This window comes from Homo sapiens, chromosome 5 (genome assembly GCF_000001405.40).
Source record: "Homo sapiens chromosome 5, GRCh38.p14 Primary Assembly".
Taxonomy (NCBI): domain Eukaryota; kingdom Metazoa; phylum Chordata; class Mammalia; order Primates; family Hominidae; genus Homo; species Homo sapiens.
The window spans coordinates 31994784-32013921 of NC_000005.10; the positions used below are offsets into that span (position 1 = coordinate 31994784).

Genomic DNA, 19138 nt, shown 5'->3' on the forward strand with positions numbered 1-19138 from the left:
GCCCTCAATATGGTGTTTTTAACATAAATATGCTTATATGTGTATATATAAGTAATATAGTTACCTATCAACATTTATTTACTGGGTGTTGTACTGCCACCTATTTGCACAAATGTCTCATTTAATTCTAAGAACAAACCTGGAAATACTAAATTCCCAATTTGGAGGCAAGGAAACTGAGACTTTTAAGCATTAGGTGGCTTTCATAAGTTATAAATGGCAGAGCTAGGTTCCAACTAGTTGAAGTCTCCTGGCACCAAGACCTGAGCTTTGCCTTCCTTTCATCTTTGTTAATTAGTAGCTGTGCAGAAGTCAAAGGCCCCCAGAAATAGCCAGTGTTGACGTGCACAGTGGCATCCGGGTTTCAGGCAGAAGCAGCTTCACCTAACAGGACCCTGTTCAGGAAATTTAATCACTTTGCTATGCTGCCCATAGCATAGTCATTAGCCACAGGTGGCTCTTGAAATTTAACTAGAATTCAATTCAGTTACAAATTTCAGTTCCCCAGTTGCCACTAGCCACATCGCAAGCACTCAATAGCCACCTGTGGCTGGTGGCTCCGTCTTGGATGGCTCAAATATAGAACATTTCCATGATCACAGAAAGTTCTATTGGACAGCACTGCCAGCCAGAGACTTGGGTCCAATCGGCAGAATTCTTTTCTCCTGTGATAATCTGTGATATCTGTGGACAAGTGATGGATATTCGGCCAGACGTGACAGCTCCGTTCTCCTGTGTCAATGCCGTGTGTCTGTCAACCTCCTTCATGGTGTGCTCACTTTTTCTTCCAAGGAGGAAGTTGGCCGAATATGGAAGATGGAGCTGCTCAAAGAATCGGATGGGCTGGGAATTCAGGTTAGTGGAGGCCGAGGATCAAAGCGCTCACCTCACGCTATCGTTGTCACTCAAGTGAAGGAAGGAGGTGCCGCTCACAGGTGACTAGATAACTCTCCCCTCTCCCCCATCCCTCTGCCTCCTCTCCTTCCCTCTCCCTCCCCACTGGTGCAGGTGCTCTTCCACTTGTTCAAAGCCCTGGCGATTATAGTTCATAAAGATTATGCTGGAGCACAGGAGGAAACCAGGCAAGAGTGGTTCGAATTGAACACACCTCTGAGCACAGGAAGTGGCTAACTGCAGAAGATATTGCAAGATCTTCTAAAACAAGGAGAGAGTGGATCTCTTTATAGTGCAGCTTTAGTTTCAAGTGAATGTTACGTATCCTAACTTGCTGAGATGATATGAGGCTACTTATTGAGAATATGCTGCTGAGTAGAACACCGCATTCCTAAGATCTTAACTCCCGTAAGACTTGACGAATGACCCGGGAAAGTGATTGGTTTTCAGTCCGACCACAGTTCATGCACTGGGGCTCCACTTGTCAGGTCTATCAGGATTTCAGGCATACTTAGATATATGTATCTCTGTCGTGCAGATGTGGAAGGGAAATTAAGTAAATGTGAATTTTTCTCCTTGCGATCTGAAAACAATTCATACCTCAAAACTTCTTTTGTAGGCCAGGCGCAGTAGCTCACGCCTGTAATCCCAATACTTTGGGAGGCCAAAGCAGGAGGATTGCTTGAGCCCAGGATTTTAAGACCAGCCTGGGCAACATGGTGAGACCTGGTGTTTACAAAAAATAAAAATTAAAAAATAGCAGCTGGGTGCGCCTGTAATGTGGGTGCTCTGGGAGGCTGAGGCGGATCACCTGAGATCAGGAGTTCCAGACCAGCCTGGCCAACAGGTGAAACCCCATCTCCACTAAACTTACAAAGACGTGAGCCAGGTGTGATGGCTTGTGCCTGTAGTCCCAGGTACTTGGGAGGCTGAGGCACGAGAATGGGTTGAACCTAGGTTGTGGAGATTGCAGTGAGCCAAGATCGCATCACTGCACTCCAGCCTGGGCAACAGAGTGAGACTTCGTCTCGATTAAAAAATAAAATAGAACAAAATAGCTGGTCATGGTGGCACACTTCTGTAGTCCTAGCTACTCAGGAGACTCAGGTGGGAGGATCACTTGAGCCCGGGAGATCGAAGCTGCAGTGTGAGCCATCACTGTGCCAGTGTACGCCAGTCTGGGTGACAGAGCAAGAGACTCTGTCTCAAAAAAACAAACAAAAACTTATTTTTTAATCTGAACAATGATCTGGAAGTAGGAAGAGGAATGGTGTTTAGCTAGAGCATGTGCAAAACAGTTTATTTTGAGTAAGAAGGATGTAGCTGTCCCAAAATGTCAGGCAGGCTCTTGACTGCTAGCTAATTGCTTCCATGCACATAGGGTGTCTACTATTTGCAAGGCCTGCTGGGGCGTGTACGTATGTTGTATGCCCACACATATACAGTAGGCATATAAAAGGAGAGTTTCGTTGATAAGCGAGTTGATCATCTTTTATCTAGTCCGGAACTTGGTGTTCAGCTCAGGTACCCTGATTCTAAGAGGGGTGTGGCAAACCAGACTGGTACTGGCCTGCCCAAGCTTGAGAGGGGACACAGAAGGATATCACATGAGGTACAGTTGAAGGAGCTGGAGATAGTCTGAAGAATGGAAAACTAAGAAGAGGACCAGGGCACAAACCAGCAAAGTCTTTTATGCTCATCAGTTCTTTTATTACAGAATAGGATGCTAATCACTAAAGTAGAGATAAGATTAACTGCAATTGTTAGTTGTCTGGGTGGTAGTAATTATTGAAGGATTAAGACCTTAGGTGGTTTTTACTCCAAAGAGCATTACTTAACTTCCAAAATGACATATGTTTTGAGGAGCTCCTGTCAGATAGACAGTTTCCCATTAATCATAGGTCTTAAGTTCTAGTCTTCCTTTAACAAGTTGGCCATTAGGAAATTCCTGTGCCCAGAGATAAACTTACAAAGAACTGTTCTTGTCTATTTTCCATCTGAGCCATTTCTATTGGGTCTCATCCTTTTCATTTCATTCTTAGCCTGGAGTTGTGTGTGTGTGTCTCTTTGAGCCTCTGGGCTATACGATTCACAAGCGGGGCATTTTAGTTAGTAACAGGAGATGAGAGAAATGAAAGAGGGAAATAGGAAAAGGGAGTGGGGATGGTCTTTTTTTCTTTTTTGAGGTGAAGTCTCGCTCTGTTGCCTAGGCTGAAGTGCAGTGGCGCGATCTCGGCTCACCACAACCTCCGCCTCCCAGGTTCAAGTGATTTTTCTGCCTCCACCTCCCAAGTAGCTGGGACTACAGGCGCTTGCCACCATACCCGGCTAATTTTTGTATTTTTAGTAGAGACGGGGTTTCACTGTGTTGGCCAGGCTGGTCTTGAACTCCTGACCTCGTGATCCATCCATCTCAGCCTCCCAAGGGATGGAGATGGTCTTGATGGCATTCTGAATTAGTAAGCCCAGGACACTGGTCTGAACCATTGTGTTCTTGATTCCTCAATCCCTCTCCTCCCATAGGAAACAGCTCCTGAGTGGCCCACCCACACAGCTCCTGAGATTCCAGCTTGTTTCTTCTGTGGTCTTCCCATTCCCCTTCTCCCACCATTCCAAACAACTAGTGGGGCCCTTAGCATTTCTCTGCTTCAGGAATTTTTGAAGGACAGAAACAGAGACTATCAGAATTCTCTGGTGTCTCCTGTCTCCTGTTAAAGCCCAAATTCATAGAAAAGACAATGGCACATGCCCTAGAGGAAGGAGACAGAAAGTGAGAGAAAAGCTGTTGAAGGAAGGAAAGGGGAGGGAAGGATGGAAAGAGAGAAGTCAGTTGATTCATTGAAAGAAAGCCAGGGGAGAGCCTAGAGACTGGAGACAAACGGAGCTTCTGGGCGTGTCGGAGGCGTGCATGTGTTTCATGGCAGCACCCTAGGTGCTGATGTGAACCTTTAGAACAGAGAAGTCCAATCTTTTGGCTTCCCTGGGCCACATTGGAAGAGGAAGAATTGTCTTGGGCTACACATAAACTACATTAACACTAACGATAGCTGATGAGCTTAAAAAACATCACCAAAAAATCTCATCATGTTTTAAGAAAGTTTACCAATTTGTGTTGGGCCATGTTCAAAGCCATCCTGGGCCACATGCAGGCCACAGGTTGGCCAAGCTTGGTCTAGAGGATGCGGTGGGATCCGAGGCTCGAGGTCCCTCTGCCTCACCAGCTTTCCTATCCCACATTCAGCCATGTCTGGCTCCTTTGGGATCCTGGGAGATCAGAGCACTGGAGGCTCTGGTGGAATCCACAGAACTGTTGACTCACCACGATTGAAGGGGCCTGTCCAGTGCTCTGGCACAGTGTGCCATGCCAAGCCCTGACCCTCCCTAGGGGAGGCAGTCCCCATGACACCTGAGTCTCTTGCCAGCCCAATGGGAAGAAAGTTGAGTCAGGCATAATTTAATTTAAGGGAAAGAAACAGAAAATGTTTGTGTACACCGTGTTTGTAGCCCAGGTCTGATACCTGCAGTGACAGCAGTTTAGGCAGTTTATTTGTTCTTTTCCTTTCTTAATTGCTTTTTTTTGGGGGGGGCGGGTGGCGGGATTTGTTTTTTTTTTTTGTTTGTTTGTTTTGATTCGTCCTTCTGTACATGAAGCTTGGCTGGAGAGACTCAAGGATGAAAAAGAAGCAGAAACCAGGCCTGGTGGCACGCACTTGTAGTCCTAGGTACTCAGGAGGCTGAGGCAGGAGGATCACTTGAGCCCAGGAGTTCCAGGCTGCAGTGAGCCAGGATTGTGCCACTCCACTCCGGCCTGGATGACAGAGCAAGACTCTGTCTCAAAAACAAACACACACAAAAAAACATACTTTAAAAAAAAGAAAACAAGGTGCCGAGAGTGAGAGACTTTACCCTCTGGGACCTGTAACTCTGTTGGGAGATAGAGACACGTGTAGTGTAGTGTGAATCACAGGTGCCCCAGAGGACATCTGGTCAGGGTCACATCCCTGGGAAGAGAGGAGTGCAGTGCATTAGGTAAGGAATGCAGGTGGGCTTAGGATACCTCTGCTGTTTCTGAGCTTAGCTCAGTGACTCAGTCATCAGGGCAGGATGGCAGGGAGGATTAAGAAACGAATGACTCGACTCTCCTCAAACCTTGGGGTCTTGGTTCCTCTATCAACATCTCCACCTGGATGGGAGTTTCACTGACATTGATGCCAGGTAGGCCGGTGACCTTAATGTGCATATTGCTGAGCCACTGCCTGAAATCATGGAGGGAATCCTCTGATGGGAATCTGGACACATGAATAAACAATCGCATCCCCAACTGCCTCTGGCCATCACAGTATCCTCTTTAGCCCAATCTTAACCGTCCCTCCTCACAACCCTCCCTAGCTCCAGAAAATGGCCCTTCTCAGGCCCAGAATGTCTTGACAAGGGATCTTTTTCCCATCTCCCTTTCCTCAGGGATGGCAGGCTGTCCTTAGGAGATGAGCTGCTGGTAATCAATGGTCATTTACTGGTCGGGCTCTCCCACGAGGAAGCAGTGGCCATTCTTCGCTCCGCCACGGGAATGGTGCAGCTTGTGGTGGCCAGCAAGGTAGGTCGTGTTTGTTTTTTGGTACTCGTAATGGTGGCAGTGGTGAGTTGGGGTTGAGCCCCACCTCCCATGCCACACACACACACAAAGACATGTGTGCACTTGTACGTTTGCCTTGGGCTATTGAAACAGCCTTGCTTCCACAGGGCAACGCTATATGGAGACCCTTAGCTGAAGTGCAGTTAGTTACTTGGCTTTCCTTAAGAAGTTTGTTTTTGTTTTTGTTTTTGTTTTTGTTTTTGTTTTTGTTTTTTTTGAGACGGAGTTTCACTCTTGTTGCCTAGTCTGGAGTGCAATGGCGCAATCTCGGCTCACCGCAACCTCCACCTTCCGGATTCAAGCAGTTCTCCTGCCTCAGCCTCCCAAGTAGCTAGGATTACAGCCACATGCCATCACACCCGGCTAATTTTGTATTTTTTATAGAGATGGGGTTTCTCCATGTTGGTCAGGCTGGTCTCAAACTCCTGACCTCAGGTGATGCACCTGCCTCAGCTTCCCAAAGTGCTGGGATTACAGGCGTGAGCCACCATGCCTGGCCCTTTAAGAGTTTTTATAGGTATATGTTAGGGCAGGTGTCCCCAGCCCCTGGGCTGTGGATGGGCACTGGTCCATGGCCTGTTAGGAGCTGGGCTGCGCAGCAGTAGGTGAGTGGCCTGTGAGACAGCGTTACCTCCTGAGAGCTCCGCCTCCTGTCAGATCAGCGGCGGCACTGGACTCTCATAGGAATGCGAGCCCTATTGTGAACCGCACACGCAACAGATCTAGGTTGCACGCGTCTTATGAGAATCTAATGCCTGATCATCTGAGGTGGGACAGTTTCATACCAAAACCATCCCTCTTGCCCCTACCATCCTTGGAAAAATTGTCTTCCATGAAACTGGTCTCTGGTGCCAAAAAGGTCAGGGACTGCAGTGTTAGGGGATGGAAAGGAAAGAACAGAGCTAAAGAAAAGGTAAGAATGGTAAGGAAGGACAATGTAGAGAGAGCGGCAGCTCTTCCAGGAGGAGCTGAAGAGGAGACTTGGAAGCCTGGGCAGCTGGAAAGGGAAGAGAGGCTCAGGGGCCGCCGAGGGCAGCCTGTGGCTTCTGCTCTCACTTGTGGCCTCTTGAGTGTTGGAGCTGGAGGAGGCGCTGTGAATCCTGTTTGCCCAGCCAATTTACAAATGAGACAGTGAGGCAGAGCTTCCGTGGCCACTACCGTCTTGCAGAGGCCATGATGCCATCAGCAGCGCCAGGACCCGGGCCCTAACGCCCAGCCCAGTGTCTGTCCCCTGTCTCCCTGCCGCCTCTTCTCCACGGGTCCTCCACAGGTCCTGACGCCCCAGGCAGGCCAGAGCTTCTTTCACACCCACCCTAGAGTGCATTAATATAGTGCCCAATTCTGAGCCTCAGCATCTCCTTCTTAAAGCACTGGCTAGTCTGCAGGACTTCACAACTGTGGTAAGAAAGAGGAGGCGTTGACCTCTGGTGTGTCTGAGCTGTGAGCCGATGTGCTGTTGATGAGACTAGGGCAGCGTCTATGTGGCCTGGTGAGAAAGAGGAGGCAGTGACCTCTCGTGTGTCTTAGCTGTAGGCCGATGTGCTGTTGATGAGACTAGGGCAGAGGCTATGTGACCGAGGAACTGGTGAAGTGGAGCCATGAAGCTTTATTCCAATTCCAGCCGGGAAGGACAGGATGAGGCCACACCCTCTTAGCCCTGTGCAGCATGACGCTCTTGCTAATATGGGGAATCCTTTTTCCATGATCTCTGTTGTTATTTCAAACCTGGCGTCATAGGTCTCTTTATATTTTCCCCCTTGAATTGCAAGATCGATTGCTGATTTTCGGAGTATTGAACAAATAGATTAGAAGAACATTTTGGGCTATCCAAAAAATCTGCTTTCCTTTCTTTACACCTTTTACCCCAAACCCTTGACCTAGACTCTCAGACTTCCAAAGAGAATCTATCTACAGAGTTCTGGTGAAGACTTGGCAGGAAGAGGGGGCGTCTGAGTCCCTGGAGGTAGGCGTTGAGACCACTGTCCATTCATAGGTCCTTTCTTCCTCTTCCAGAGGTACCAAGGGACACCTTGGGGTGTCTCTTGAGTCCATCGCGCTCCCTGCATGTCTTCACCCAGAGCGTCTGCCTGTGGGCTGTCTGTAGCCCCTCGCCGGAAATGGGGCGGCAGAACAAACCCCGGGATTCTCTCTGTCAGCTGGTGAATTCCACAAGGAGGGAAATGCTGCAAGAGAAGGAGAAACTAGTTCATTGTTTTGCCAGATGAAGTGGGAGCCTGAAAGCATCTTTGGGTCTTATACACACACACACCTCACACATACCACACACACACACCACACACACACCAACACACACCAACACACCACCAACACACACACCCCACATACTACACACACACACCACACACACACCAACACACACCACACACACCACCAACACACACACCCCACACACCAACACACACACCCCACACACCAACACACACACCCCACACACCACACACACCAACACACAACCACACACACCACCAACACAACCACCAACACACACCACACATACATACCAACACACACCACACACCAACACACACACACCCCACATACCACACACACACCACACACACCAACACACACCCCCACCACACACACACCACACACACCTCACACACCACGAACACACACACACCACACACACACCAACACACACACACCACACACACCCCACACACCAACACACACACCACACACCACATACCACATGCATACCATACACACACTACACACACCACACACACATCACACACCCACACACCAACATACACTCCACACACACACCCCACAAACACACCACGCGCCACACACACACCACACACACACCACACACCACCAACACACACACCACACACCATACACCACACACACACTACACACACCACACACATCACACACCCACACACCAACATATACCTTCACACACACACCACACACACACCACATGCCACACACACACCACACACACACCACAGCAAACACCACACCACACACACCCCACACACACACCCCCACCACACCACACACACACCACACACCACACCACACACACACCACACACACACCCACACACACCACACACACACTCCTCCACACACACACCCCCCCCACACACACCCTACACACTCCCCCCAACACACACCCACCCCCCCCACACCACACTACACACACACCACATCATAAACAAACACCACACATACACACACACGCACACACACACACAGAGGCATGTGTCTGCAGAGAACGCGTGTTTCATTTGCACAGCCCACCTCCTCAAAATCGTGTGCTGAAGAACATGGGTTTCTGCACGAGCATTCCACCATGTACTGCTAAACCTGCATTTCTTGTGCTGACTTCCTTCTCTTGTTAGTTTTTTTGTTTTTGTTTTTGTTTTTTGTTTTTGTTTTTTGAGACGGAGTCTCACTCCTGTCACCCAGGCTGGAGTGCAATGATGTGATCTTGGCTTACTGCAACCTCTGCGTCCCGAGTTCAAGCGATTCTCCTGCCTCAGCCTCCCAAGTAGCTGGGATTACAGGTGCCCACCACCACGTCTGGCTAATTTTCGTACTTTTAGTAGAGACGGGGTTTCGCCATGTTGGCCAGGCTGGTCTTAAACTCCTGACCTCAGGTGATCCACCCACCTTGGCCTCCCAAAGTGCTGGGATTGCAGGCATGAGCCACTGCATCCAGCCTCTCCTGCTAGTTTGGAAAATGGGGAAGGGGATGGCTTTTCTTTGTCAAGTCGTTATCCAGAAACACAAAACGTAAGATTAAAAAAAAAAAAGGTGGGGGGGCCACTTATGGGTAAAGCAAATAATGAAGGGGCTTTGAAAACTTGGAAAACTGGTTCCTCGATGATGCCTGCTCCCTGTGAGACACACCAACTTAAAGGAAGAAAGCACGCTGCATGTACCAGGTGCCCACAGGGTGCCAGGTGGTTTTAGTTCTTTTTATTCAGTGAATGGTATTAAGTTCCAAGTGGTTGGACTGGGCATGGTGGCTCATGCCTGTAATCCCAGCAATTTGGGAGGCTAAGGAGGAGGATTTCTTGAGTCTAGGAGTTCAAAACCATCCTGGGCAAAATAGTGAGACCTCTTCTCTACAAAAATAAAAAACAAAAAATTAGCCATGCATGGTAGCACACACCTGTAATCCGTGCTACTTGGGAGGCTGAAGCAAGAAGATTGCTTGAGTTTAGCAGGTCAAGGCTGCAGTGAGCCGTGGCCATGCCACTACACTCCAGCCTGGGTGACAGAGCAAGACCCTGTCTCAAAAAACAAAAACAAACAAATCCCAGTGGTTAATTAACTTGCCCTGAGGTCACACAGCAGTAGAAACCAGAATCAGGTTTTAGCCTGAGTCCACCAGACTTCAGAGTTCAAGCTGCTTCTCGTGCACCAAGCTGCCTTTATGCAAATAAAATATAAAGAACACTAGAGCCAATGGTATTAGAAAAAGATAATGTGTTCCTGCTAGAGGCTTTGACTTTTAGGGACGCTTGCTTGGGTCCTCGTGGGGCTGAGTAGCATTCCAGAACCAAAGGATGGGTGTCCATCCAAGTTCTCAATCCATTGGCCCTTGGGCATCTGTACTGAGCTGTGGTGCTGAAGCTGACCCAGGCCTCAGAAGAGTGAGGCCTTTCTCTTCTTCCAATACACTCCATTTTACAATTAGGCACTAAACTGCTACAGCAGCTGCCTGCTGCTCCTAAACTTCATCTACACCATCCAAGGTCCTCATCCACATAGGAGAAAAAAGATAGCAGCCTTCATGTGCCTCTTGACATGTTTCTCTTCTTTATCCAACAAGAGCAAGTAATCCACAAGCTTCCTTGCTGTCTTCACACTTGAAGAGGGAGGGGAGAGCTTTTGACTTGCTGAATATAAAGAAAAACAAAAATGTAAACTATTCTTATTATGGATAATAGTCACCTTGTTGCAAAACTTTAAGGCATTGTTTTGGAAATACAGCAGTTACTTTCTTGTGGAGAGGATGCCTTATGTTTCCACACAAATAAATTATTTGCTTATAGTAGGAGCTTAGGAAGTTTTTATTGAATGAATAAACTCAGAATATACAAGTTAGTTTTGATATGCCTGGAAGCAACATATATCAGTACAGATCTCTTGCTCGCTTTTTTGCTTTTTTCACTCTTGGTTTTTATTAACAAGTAATATATATGTATTGTATCAAATGTAGACAACCCAAAAAAAAAAAACAGAGAAGAAGAAGATGATGAAATTCTCATAATACCACCAATAGTACTTACTATCCATTAACTGGAGTGTCCTTCCAGCTGGGAACATCTGTATGTGTGTGCAACATGTACATACATGTTTTCTGTAAAATGGAGTCAAATACAAGGAAACGGCATATATACCCTGGAGGCAGTCCCACCTGGACTTAAATCGAGCACAGCCCTTTAAAAGCTGCATGTCCTGGCCAAGTTGTTACCTCTCCTAATTCTCCATTTTCTTCCCTGTACAGTGAGAATCAGTAACTACCTTATGAGGATGATGTTAGGAGAATTAAATGAGATATCAAGGGGGCAGGTGCAGTGGCTCACACCTGTAATCCCAGCAATTTGGGAGGCCAAGGTGGGCAGATCACTTGAGGTCAGGATTCGAGACCAGCCTGCCCAACATGGTGAAACCCTGTCTCTACTAAAAACACAAAAATTAGCCAGGCATGGTGGCGTGCACCTGTAATCCCAGCTACTAGGGAGGCTGAGGCAGGAGAATCGCTTGAACCCAGGAGGCAGAGGTTGCAGTGAGCTGAGATCGCGCCACTGCACTCCAGCCTGGGTGACAGAGTGAGACTCCACTTCAAAAAAAAAAAAAAAAGATATCAAGGGCCCTGAGCAGTGTAGCTGGTTATAGCAAGAACTGGATAAATGTTTGCCTTATGGTTATCACAGTTTATTACCTTTAGCTTATTATTACATACATTATTAATATAGTTATTACATATTACTTTAACCTGCTTTTTCACTGAGTAGCATACTGTAAGAATCTTTCCATGTTAGGAAGTACAATTTTTTTTTTTTTTTTTTGAGACAGGGACTTGCATTTTTGCCCAGGCTGGAATTGAGTGGTGTAATCATATAGCTCTCTGCAGCCTGAAACCTGAGGCTCAAGTGATCCTCCCATCTTAGCATCCCAAGTAACTGGGACTACAGACACGTGCCACCATACATGGCTACTGTTCGTTTGTTTGAGACAGATTTAAACAATTTTTTGTAGAGGCAATCTCTCTCTGTGTTGCTCAGGCTGGTCTCAAACTCCTGCCCTCAAGCGATCTGCCTACCTAGGACTCCCAAGGTAATGGGATTACAGGCATGAACCACTGCCAGGCTCAACACCTTTTTTTTTTTTTTTTTTTTTTTCCTGAGACAGAGTCTCGCTCTGTCACCCAGACTGCAGTGCGGTGGTACAATCTTGGCTCACTGCGACCTCCGCCTCCTAGGTTCAAGCTATTCTTCTGCCTCAGCCTCCTGAGTGGCTGGGACCATAGGCACGTGCCACCGCATCTGGCTAATGTTTATATTTTTAGTAGAGACGGGATTTCACTATGTTAGCCATGCTGGTCTTTTTTTTTTTTTTTTTTTTTTTTTTGAGACGGAGTCTCGCTCTGTCTCCCAGGCTGGAGTGCAGTGGCGCCATCTCAGCTCACTACAAGCTCCGCCTCCCAGGCTTACGCCATTCTCCTGCCTCAGCCTCCTGAGTAGCAGGGACTACAGGCGCCCGCCACCACGCCCGGCTAATTTTTTTTGTATTTTTTAGTAGAGACGGGGTTTCACTGTGTTAGCTAGGATGGTCTCAATCTCCTGACCTCGTGATCCACCCGCTTTGGCCTCCCAAAGTGCTGGGATTACAGGCTTGAGCCACCGCGCCCGGCCTGCCATGCTGGTCTTAACCTCTTGGCCTCAACTGATCCACCCGCCACAGCCTCCCAAAGTGCTGGGATTACGGGTATGAGCCACTACACCCAGCCCCAGCACCATCTTTAATGGTCGCAGAGTAGTCTATCCTGTATCTGCTATGCCTTTACTTCACAGTTGGGATTTAAAAAAAAAAAAAAAACACTCTTTTCGGTTAATCTAGCAGAAGTAGAATTGACATCACAGAAGAGGACTGAACTCACTTTTTTTTCCCTTTCCTTAGATAAGGCCTAACAATATAGGATTCACAATTACTGATTCAAATTATCTTCAGGTACTTTGAAGGTGGAACCAACGTGAAACTAGTAACAAACATCACTGTCGCTAGATGCCAGCTTGCTAATATTCAGTAACATCCATTGTTTAAGATGGGTTTCATTCATTTATTTTTTGGTCCTCTTTTCTGTTAACCCTCACGCAATGTGATTAAATATGATTAAGACGTTCTGTGTGTTTCCTTCCTTGTGGAAATGGCCAACGCAAAGGACTGAGAGAACAGGTAGCTCTTCTTGCTCTCTTTCTAGAGCCATGGATTCGCTCTAGAGCCCCAGCCCCCTCCCTGGCCCCTGGCCCTCATGTGCTGCGGCATTTCCCCGGAGGGCTCTGGCTCCTGTGTGGTCCGCATTTGCAGCAAGGCCTTCATGATCTCACCTGCGTCTTACAGCCTACTCTAGCCTTAACCTGTACATAAGATCAAAGGGCTGTGTGTTGGCGATGCCCCTTCAGAATCTTATCCAAATGGAGTCTGGGCCGGGCGCGGTCCCTCATGCCTGTAATCCCAACACTTCGGGAGGCTGAGATGGGAGGACTACTTGAGGCCAGGAGTTCGAGACCAGCCTGGTCAACATAGCGAGACCCCATCTCTATAAAATAATAAAAATAAATAAATAAATAAATAAATAAATAAATAAATGGAGTCTTATTCCATGTATTTTTGTTGACCTTTAAAAGTTGTTCAAGGACTGCCTTCATTGAAAAAGACCTTATCTGACATTTTGATTCAACAATCTAATCTCTTTTGTTTCTTTTTTTTTTTTTTTTCTTTTTTTTGGAGATGGAGTTTTGCTGTTGTTGCCCAGGCTACAGTCTCAGCTGACTGCAACTTCCGCCTTCCGGGTTCGAGGGATTCTTGTGCCTCAGTCCCCCAAGTAGCTGGGATTACAGTTGCCCGCCCACCACACCTGGCTAATTTTTGTATTTTTAGTAGAGACGGATGGGGTTTCACCATGTTGGCCAGGCTGGTCTTGAACTCCTGACCTCAGGTGATCCACCCGCCTCGGCCTCCCAAGTGCTAGGATTACAGGCATGAGCCACTGCGCCCAGCCAGTTGAATCTCTTTCTAATGAGCATATGCTAGGGAAATGAGCACAGGAGCAGGAAGGAGGAGATCATGGATATGTGAGCTCTGGGCTAGGCCTGGGGACACAGCAGTGAATGGAAATGGTGTTAGGTGGGAGCAATTCTCAGACACGCAGGGGAGATATACAAGTAGACACACTGCAAGGGGATGAAAGCAGTAGTCAAAGACTTTAGAGAAGAAAGGAGAGGCAAATGGAGTGGCTCCTGAGATGACCCAGGTGGGCTTTCGGAAGGAGAGGTGTTCAAGCCTTGCCCGCGTGGGCCTCAGTCGTGAAAGGAAGGGTGGTCCCAGCAGAGGGAGCTGCTGGCGGAAAAGGCAGTGGGCAAGGAAGAGTCCAAAGGGTTTGGAAGGCAGTATGGCATCAGAGTGGGTTGGTGGGGAGACAGGAGGAGGGGGATGAGTTTGGAGAGTGGGGCAGAAGCAGCTCTAAAAGATACTGATCTAGCCGGGCTCGGTGGCTCATGCCTGTAATCTCAGCACTTTGGGAAGCCAAGGCAGGCAGATCACGAGGTCAGGGGTTCGAGACCAGCCTGGCCAACATAGTGAAAACCCCGTCTCTACTGAAAATACAAAAATTAGCCAGGCATGGTGGCGTGTGCCTGTAGTCTCAGCTACTTGGGAGTTGAGGTGGGAGAATCGCTTGAACTGGGGAGGTGGAGGTTGTGGTGAGCTGAGATTGTGCCACTGCACTCCAGCCTGGGCAACAGAGCGAGACTCTTGTCTCAAAAAAATAAAAATTAAAATTAAAAAATCAATAAAAAAAAGATGCTGACCTCTTTAGACAGCATCCTGAAAGCAGTCCAGGGGAGGCCAGCAGAGGATCTTGGGCCAGGTGCGGTGACTCACTCCTGTAATCCCAGCACTTTGGGAAGCCACAGCAGGAGAATGGCTTGAGCCCAGGAGTTCGAGACCAGCCTGGGCAACATAGTGAGACCTTGTGTCTACAAAATAAAAAATTTTAATTAGCCAGGCATGGTGGTGCATGCCCTGTACTTCCAGCTACTCATGAGGCTGAGGCAGGAGGGCCACTTGAGCCCAGAGGTTTGAGGTTGCAGTGAGCTATGATTGCACCACTGCACTCAGCCTGGGTGACAGAATGAGACCTTGTCTATTAAAAAAAAAAATGATTGTTTTATAAAGGGATCTTAAATTCAGGGAGCTTGGATTGCCCATAGAAACACTGAGCTAAAGGCTGGGTGTGGTGGCTCACGCCTGTAATCCCAGCATTTTGGGAGGCTGAGGCAGGTAGATCACTTGAGGTCAGCAGTTCGAGACCAGCCTGACCAACACGGTGAAACCCCATCTCTATTAAAAATACAATGCCAGGTGTGGTGGCTCATGCCTGTATTCCCAGCTACTTGGGAGGCTGATGCAGGAGAATCACTTGAACCCGGGAGGCGGAGGTTGCAATGAGCCGAGATCACGCCACTGCACTCCAGCCTGGGCAACAGAGCAAGACTGTCTCAAAAAAAAGAAAAAAGAAAAAAAAGAAACAGCTAAGAATCATACATTCTCTGTGGGGAAAAAATGGATTTGGGTTTAAATTGGGTCCACACCCCTGGCCTTTGAGGTAACCTTGCAGACACAGAACATTTACTCCATGTAGTCTTTGGTTTGGGAGCATGTAGCTTGACTGTGCCAGGTTGCCTTCAAGAACTGCTTGGTTCTGGGGAGTAATTCATGGATGGGCCTTTAATTGTGTCCCCATAGGAAAACTCCGCAGAGGACCTCCTCAGGTTAACATCTAAGAGCTTGCCAGATCTGACCAGCTCGGTAGAAGATGTGTCCTCCTGGACTGATAACGAAGACCAGGAGGCAGACGGGGAAGAGGACGAAGGAACCAGCTCTTCTGTCCAGAGAGCAGTAAGTGGCTCTGTGCTCCTGGCTTTCTGTTGGAATTACTTTTTTCTGAAGTCCTGGGCGCCAGGATTAGGGGATAAATGCTTGAGATAGTATGATAGAGACCATGATGGGAAAAGACACCAGTGCATTCTTTCTATGTTTTTCTCGGAATCTCTGAGAAAAATCTGTGAGGGTGATATTTTTCCTTTAAGGAAAAAAAATGAAATGGTAAACAAGATAAGCAACCCAGGGGGCTGGGCACAGTGGCTTACACCTGTAATGCCAGCACTTTTGGAGGCTGAGGCAGGTGGATCACCTGAGGTCAGGAGTTCAAGACCAGCCTGGCCAACATGATGAAACCTAGTCTCTACTAAAAATACAAAAATTAGCCAGGCATGGTGGTGCATGCCTGTAATTCCAGCTACTCAGGAGGCTGAGGCAAGAGAATCGTCTTGAGCCCAGGAGGCAGAGGTTGCAGTGAGCTGAGATCTCGCCACTGCACTCAAGCCTGGGCTACAGAGCGAGACTCCCTCTCCAAAAACCTCTCAAAAAAAAAAAAAACAACAACAACAACAACAACTGGATATTGAGTTCAGTGCATATATTAATTTCTAGAATGCTTTATAATATATACAAGGATTTTGCTGCTATGCCTTGCTGGTGTGTTTGACAACTACTATTAGTGAATTTAAACTTGGATGGAGAGATTTCTGGTTCAAAGTGGAATGTTAAAATAACACAAAAAGGCTAGGTGCTGTGGCTCATGCCTGTAACCCCAGCACCTTGGGAGGCCAAGGTGGGTGGATTGCTTGAGCTCAGGAGTCGGAGACCAGCCTGGCCAACATGACGAAACCCCATCTTTACAAAAAATACAAAAAAAAAAAAAAATTAGCCAGGTGTGGTGGGGCATGCCTGTAGTCTCAGCTACTCAGGAGGCTGAGGCAGGAGGATCACTTGAGCCTGAGAGGTCAAGCCTTCAGTGAGCTGTGATCATGCCACTGCTCTCCAACCTGGGCTACAGAGCAAGACCCTGTCTCAAAAAATAGTAATAATATAAGGCTCTGTGGTCTCTTCTTTGCGTCCCAAATCTGAAAGATGTGTCATTTTTAGTGTGAACTCTTATTAGCCCTTGTTCCCCATCTAAACAGCTGTGGGGTGGGTGGGTGCCCTCTCTCTGCCCCTTGGAGCCCCTTCCTCCTTCCCACTCTCCTGAACCTAGGCAGCATAGGTAAGCACTGGAAAATCAGCTTTGCTTAGAATAAGGCCTTAGAAGATGAAAGATGCATCTCATTTACCACAGTAAGCTATATTTAAAGGGGGAAAAGTTGCTTTTCGTCTTCCTTTTTGTTCCTGGAAACCTAGGGCTACCAAGCATGGTTGTGCAGGTTGTGGACTGCACAAAGGTGTCACTTGTAAGGGTGTACCATTCACATCATAAACATCATAAGCTTTTAGATTTATTATAACCGTTTTCTGAAGGATGGCAGTATAGGGGCTCCCTGTGCTCTGTGCTGGCACGGCAGTTACCCTCTGCTCCTTGTTTTCCATGGTTACAAGAAGGGAAATGATGTGGCGGTACAACAGCAGACTTCAGCTCCAGCACAGCTCCAGCATTCTGACCTTTCCTTACTGTATATCCTTCACTAGCAACTCTCCAGCCCAGGGGGTTCCTCATTGCTCTCGTCCCCTCCTGTTCCCACAGTCTAGAGGGCTCATCCCTACTGAGCAGGATCTCATTGCTCAGCAGTTGTGCCCGGAGACATCTCAGCCAGCTTTCAGTGGAAAGCTAAGTAAGCCCTGGGTCTGCGGCGAGGACAGCCCTGCAGCACGTCTGCACCCCCTCTGCTGAGCCTCCAAGCCATTGACGGAGCATAACAGCTCTTTGTAGAGAGCTTACAAGCACGCATATTTTTTAAAAAATTATTTTTTTTTGTTTTTTAGAGACGGAGTCTTGCTCTGTCGCCCAGACTGTAGTGCAGTGGCGTGATCTTGGCTTGCTGCAACCTCTGTCTCCCGGGTTCTAGCAATTCTCCTGCCTCAGCCTCCCGAGTAGCTGGGACTACAGACGCACGCCACCGCGCTTGGCTAATTTTTTGTATTTTCATTAGTAGAGACGAGGTTTCACTGTGTTGCCCAGGCTGGTCTCGAACTCCTGAGCTCAGGCAATCCACCTGCCTCAGCCTCCCAAAGTGCTAGGATTACAAGCGTGAGCCACCGCACCTGGCCCAAAAAAATTTCTTCAGTCATACTCTCCTGCAAAAAAACTGCAAGGAATTATTTAATTCAAACTTCATATACTAAATACTAGTATATGAAGCTCTAATAAATAACCTATTACATATATTAAATATATTACATGTTATATAATGTATTTTTATTTAAGTTATTATTTAAACTTACAATTTAAATAAATTTATTATAATTCTAATGACTACATATAATTTAAATTATGCATAATTCATATGAGTTTTTCCGAGTATAAAAGTAATGTTTTACTATGTAAATGTTTTTGACCAAAAAAATCCTAGAGACAGGATAAATCACCAACAATTCTGTATTCAAAGATAGCCATCTATAACATTTTGCTGTGGCTTTCTAATTTTTTTTCTTTAAGCATATTTGTATTTTTAATTGACCTTATATTAACATGCTTATGAAACGCTATGGTCTTAATGACATAATCATGAATGTATCCCTATGTCATTAAAGGGTCTTCTGAAACATGATTTATAATGGTTAATATTCCTTAACATGAAAGTGCCGTAATTTGTTTCACCAATGTACTTCACATTTTGTATTCAAATTTTTTTAAATGTAATTTCGTATAGAACATCTTTGCTCCTATATCTCTCTGTGTTATCTTTTTTTTTTTTTTTTGACATTTCCTTACATGGCTTATAGCAGTAAAATTGCTTAGTCAAAGGTTTTTTTCTGGGGAGATTATAGTAATTTACACTTGTAGGATAGGCCAGTTCCCACCATCACCAAAAACATTATCTTTAGAAAAGTTTACCAATTAATCACACATTGTTTTATGAGTTTATTACTGTAGTTTCTTCAAGGGAATGTCAATGCATTTTGTCATAACACACTAGATTTGGGAAGCTTTGTGTTGCCTTTAAGGGGAAGCTAAGCCTCTCGGCAGTATTTCACCACCGTTGTACCTGTTGTCCTGGCTCTATTTCTGGGTTTCTCCGTCATGCCACCAGAAGCTCTTAATACACTGATCCTAAGCCCATTATCTTCGGTGGAGAAACCAGCACTGATCCTACTTTGACAATTCTCCTTCCCTTGTGCACCAGACGGGACACCACCTCCGCCTCCCTCCCCTTCTGCTCCACCCCCATCACAAGGCACTCACGGAGGAGGTGGAACCGGGCTTCATGCCTGGCCATCACCAAAGCCTCAACACCCATCATTTCTCAGCCCTCTCTTGAGTTCTCGTTGCAGCCCAGGGGAA

At 47.0% G+C, this 19138-nt stretch overlaps 1 protein-coding gene across 8 annotated transcripts in view; it reads left to right on the forward strand.

Annotated features, from left to right (window-relative positions):
• The window catches only part of PDZD2 (PDZ domain containing 2), a 471802-nt gene that overhangs the window by 355653 nt on the left and 97011 nt on the right, over positions 1-19138 (forward strand). For 5 of the 8 annotated variants that reach the window (XM_005248269.5, NM_178140.4, XM_011513992.3 and 2 more), the window contains 3 exons: positions 793-935; positions 5356-5488; positions 15547-15699. In XM_005248269.5, the coding sequence (XP_005248326.1) occupies positions 793-935; positions 5356-5488; positions 15547-15699 (429 nt within the window). The remainder of the gene's footprint in view (positions 1-792; positions 936-5355; positions 5489-15546; positions 15700-19138) is intronic. The other 3 variants (XM_006714460.3, XM_047416965.1, XM_011513996.3) reach the window with 2 other exon arrangements.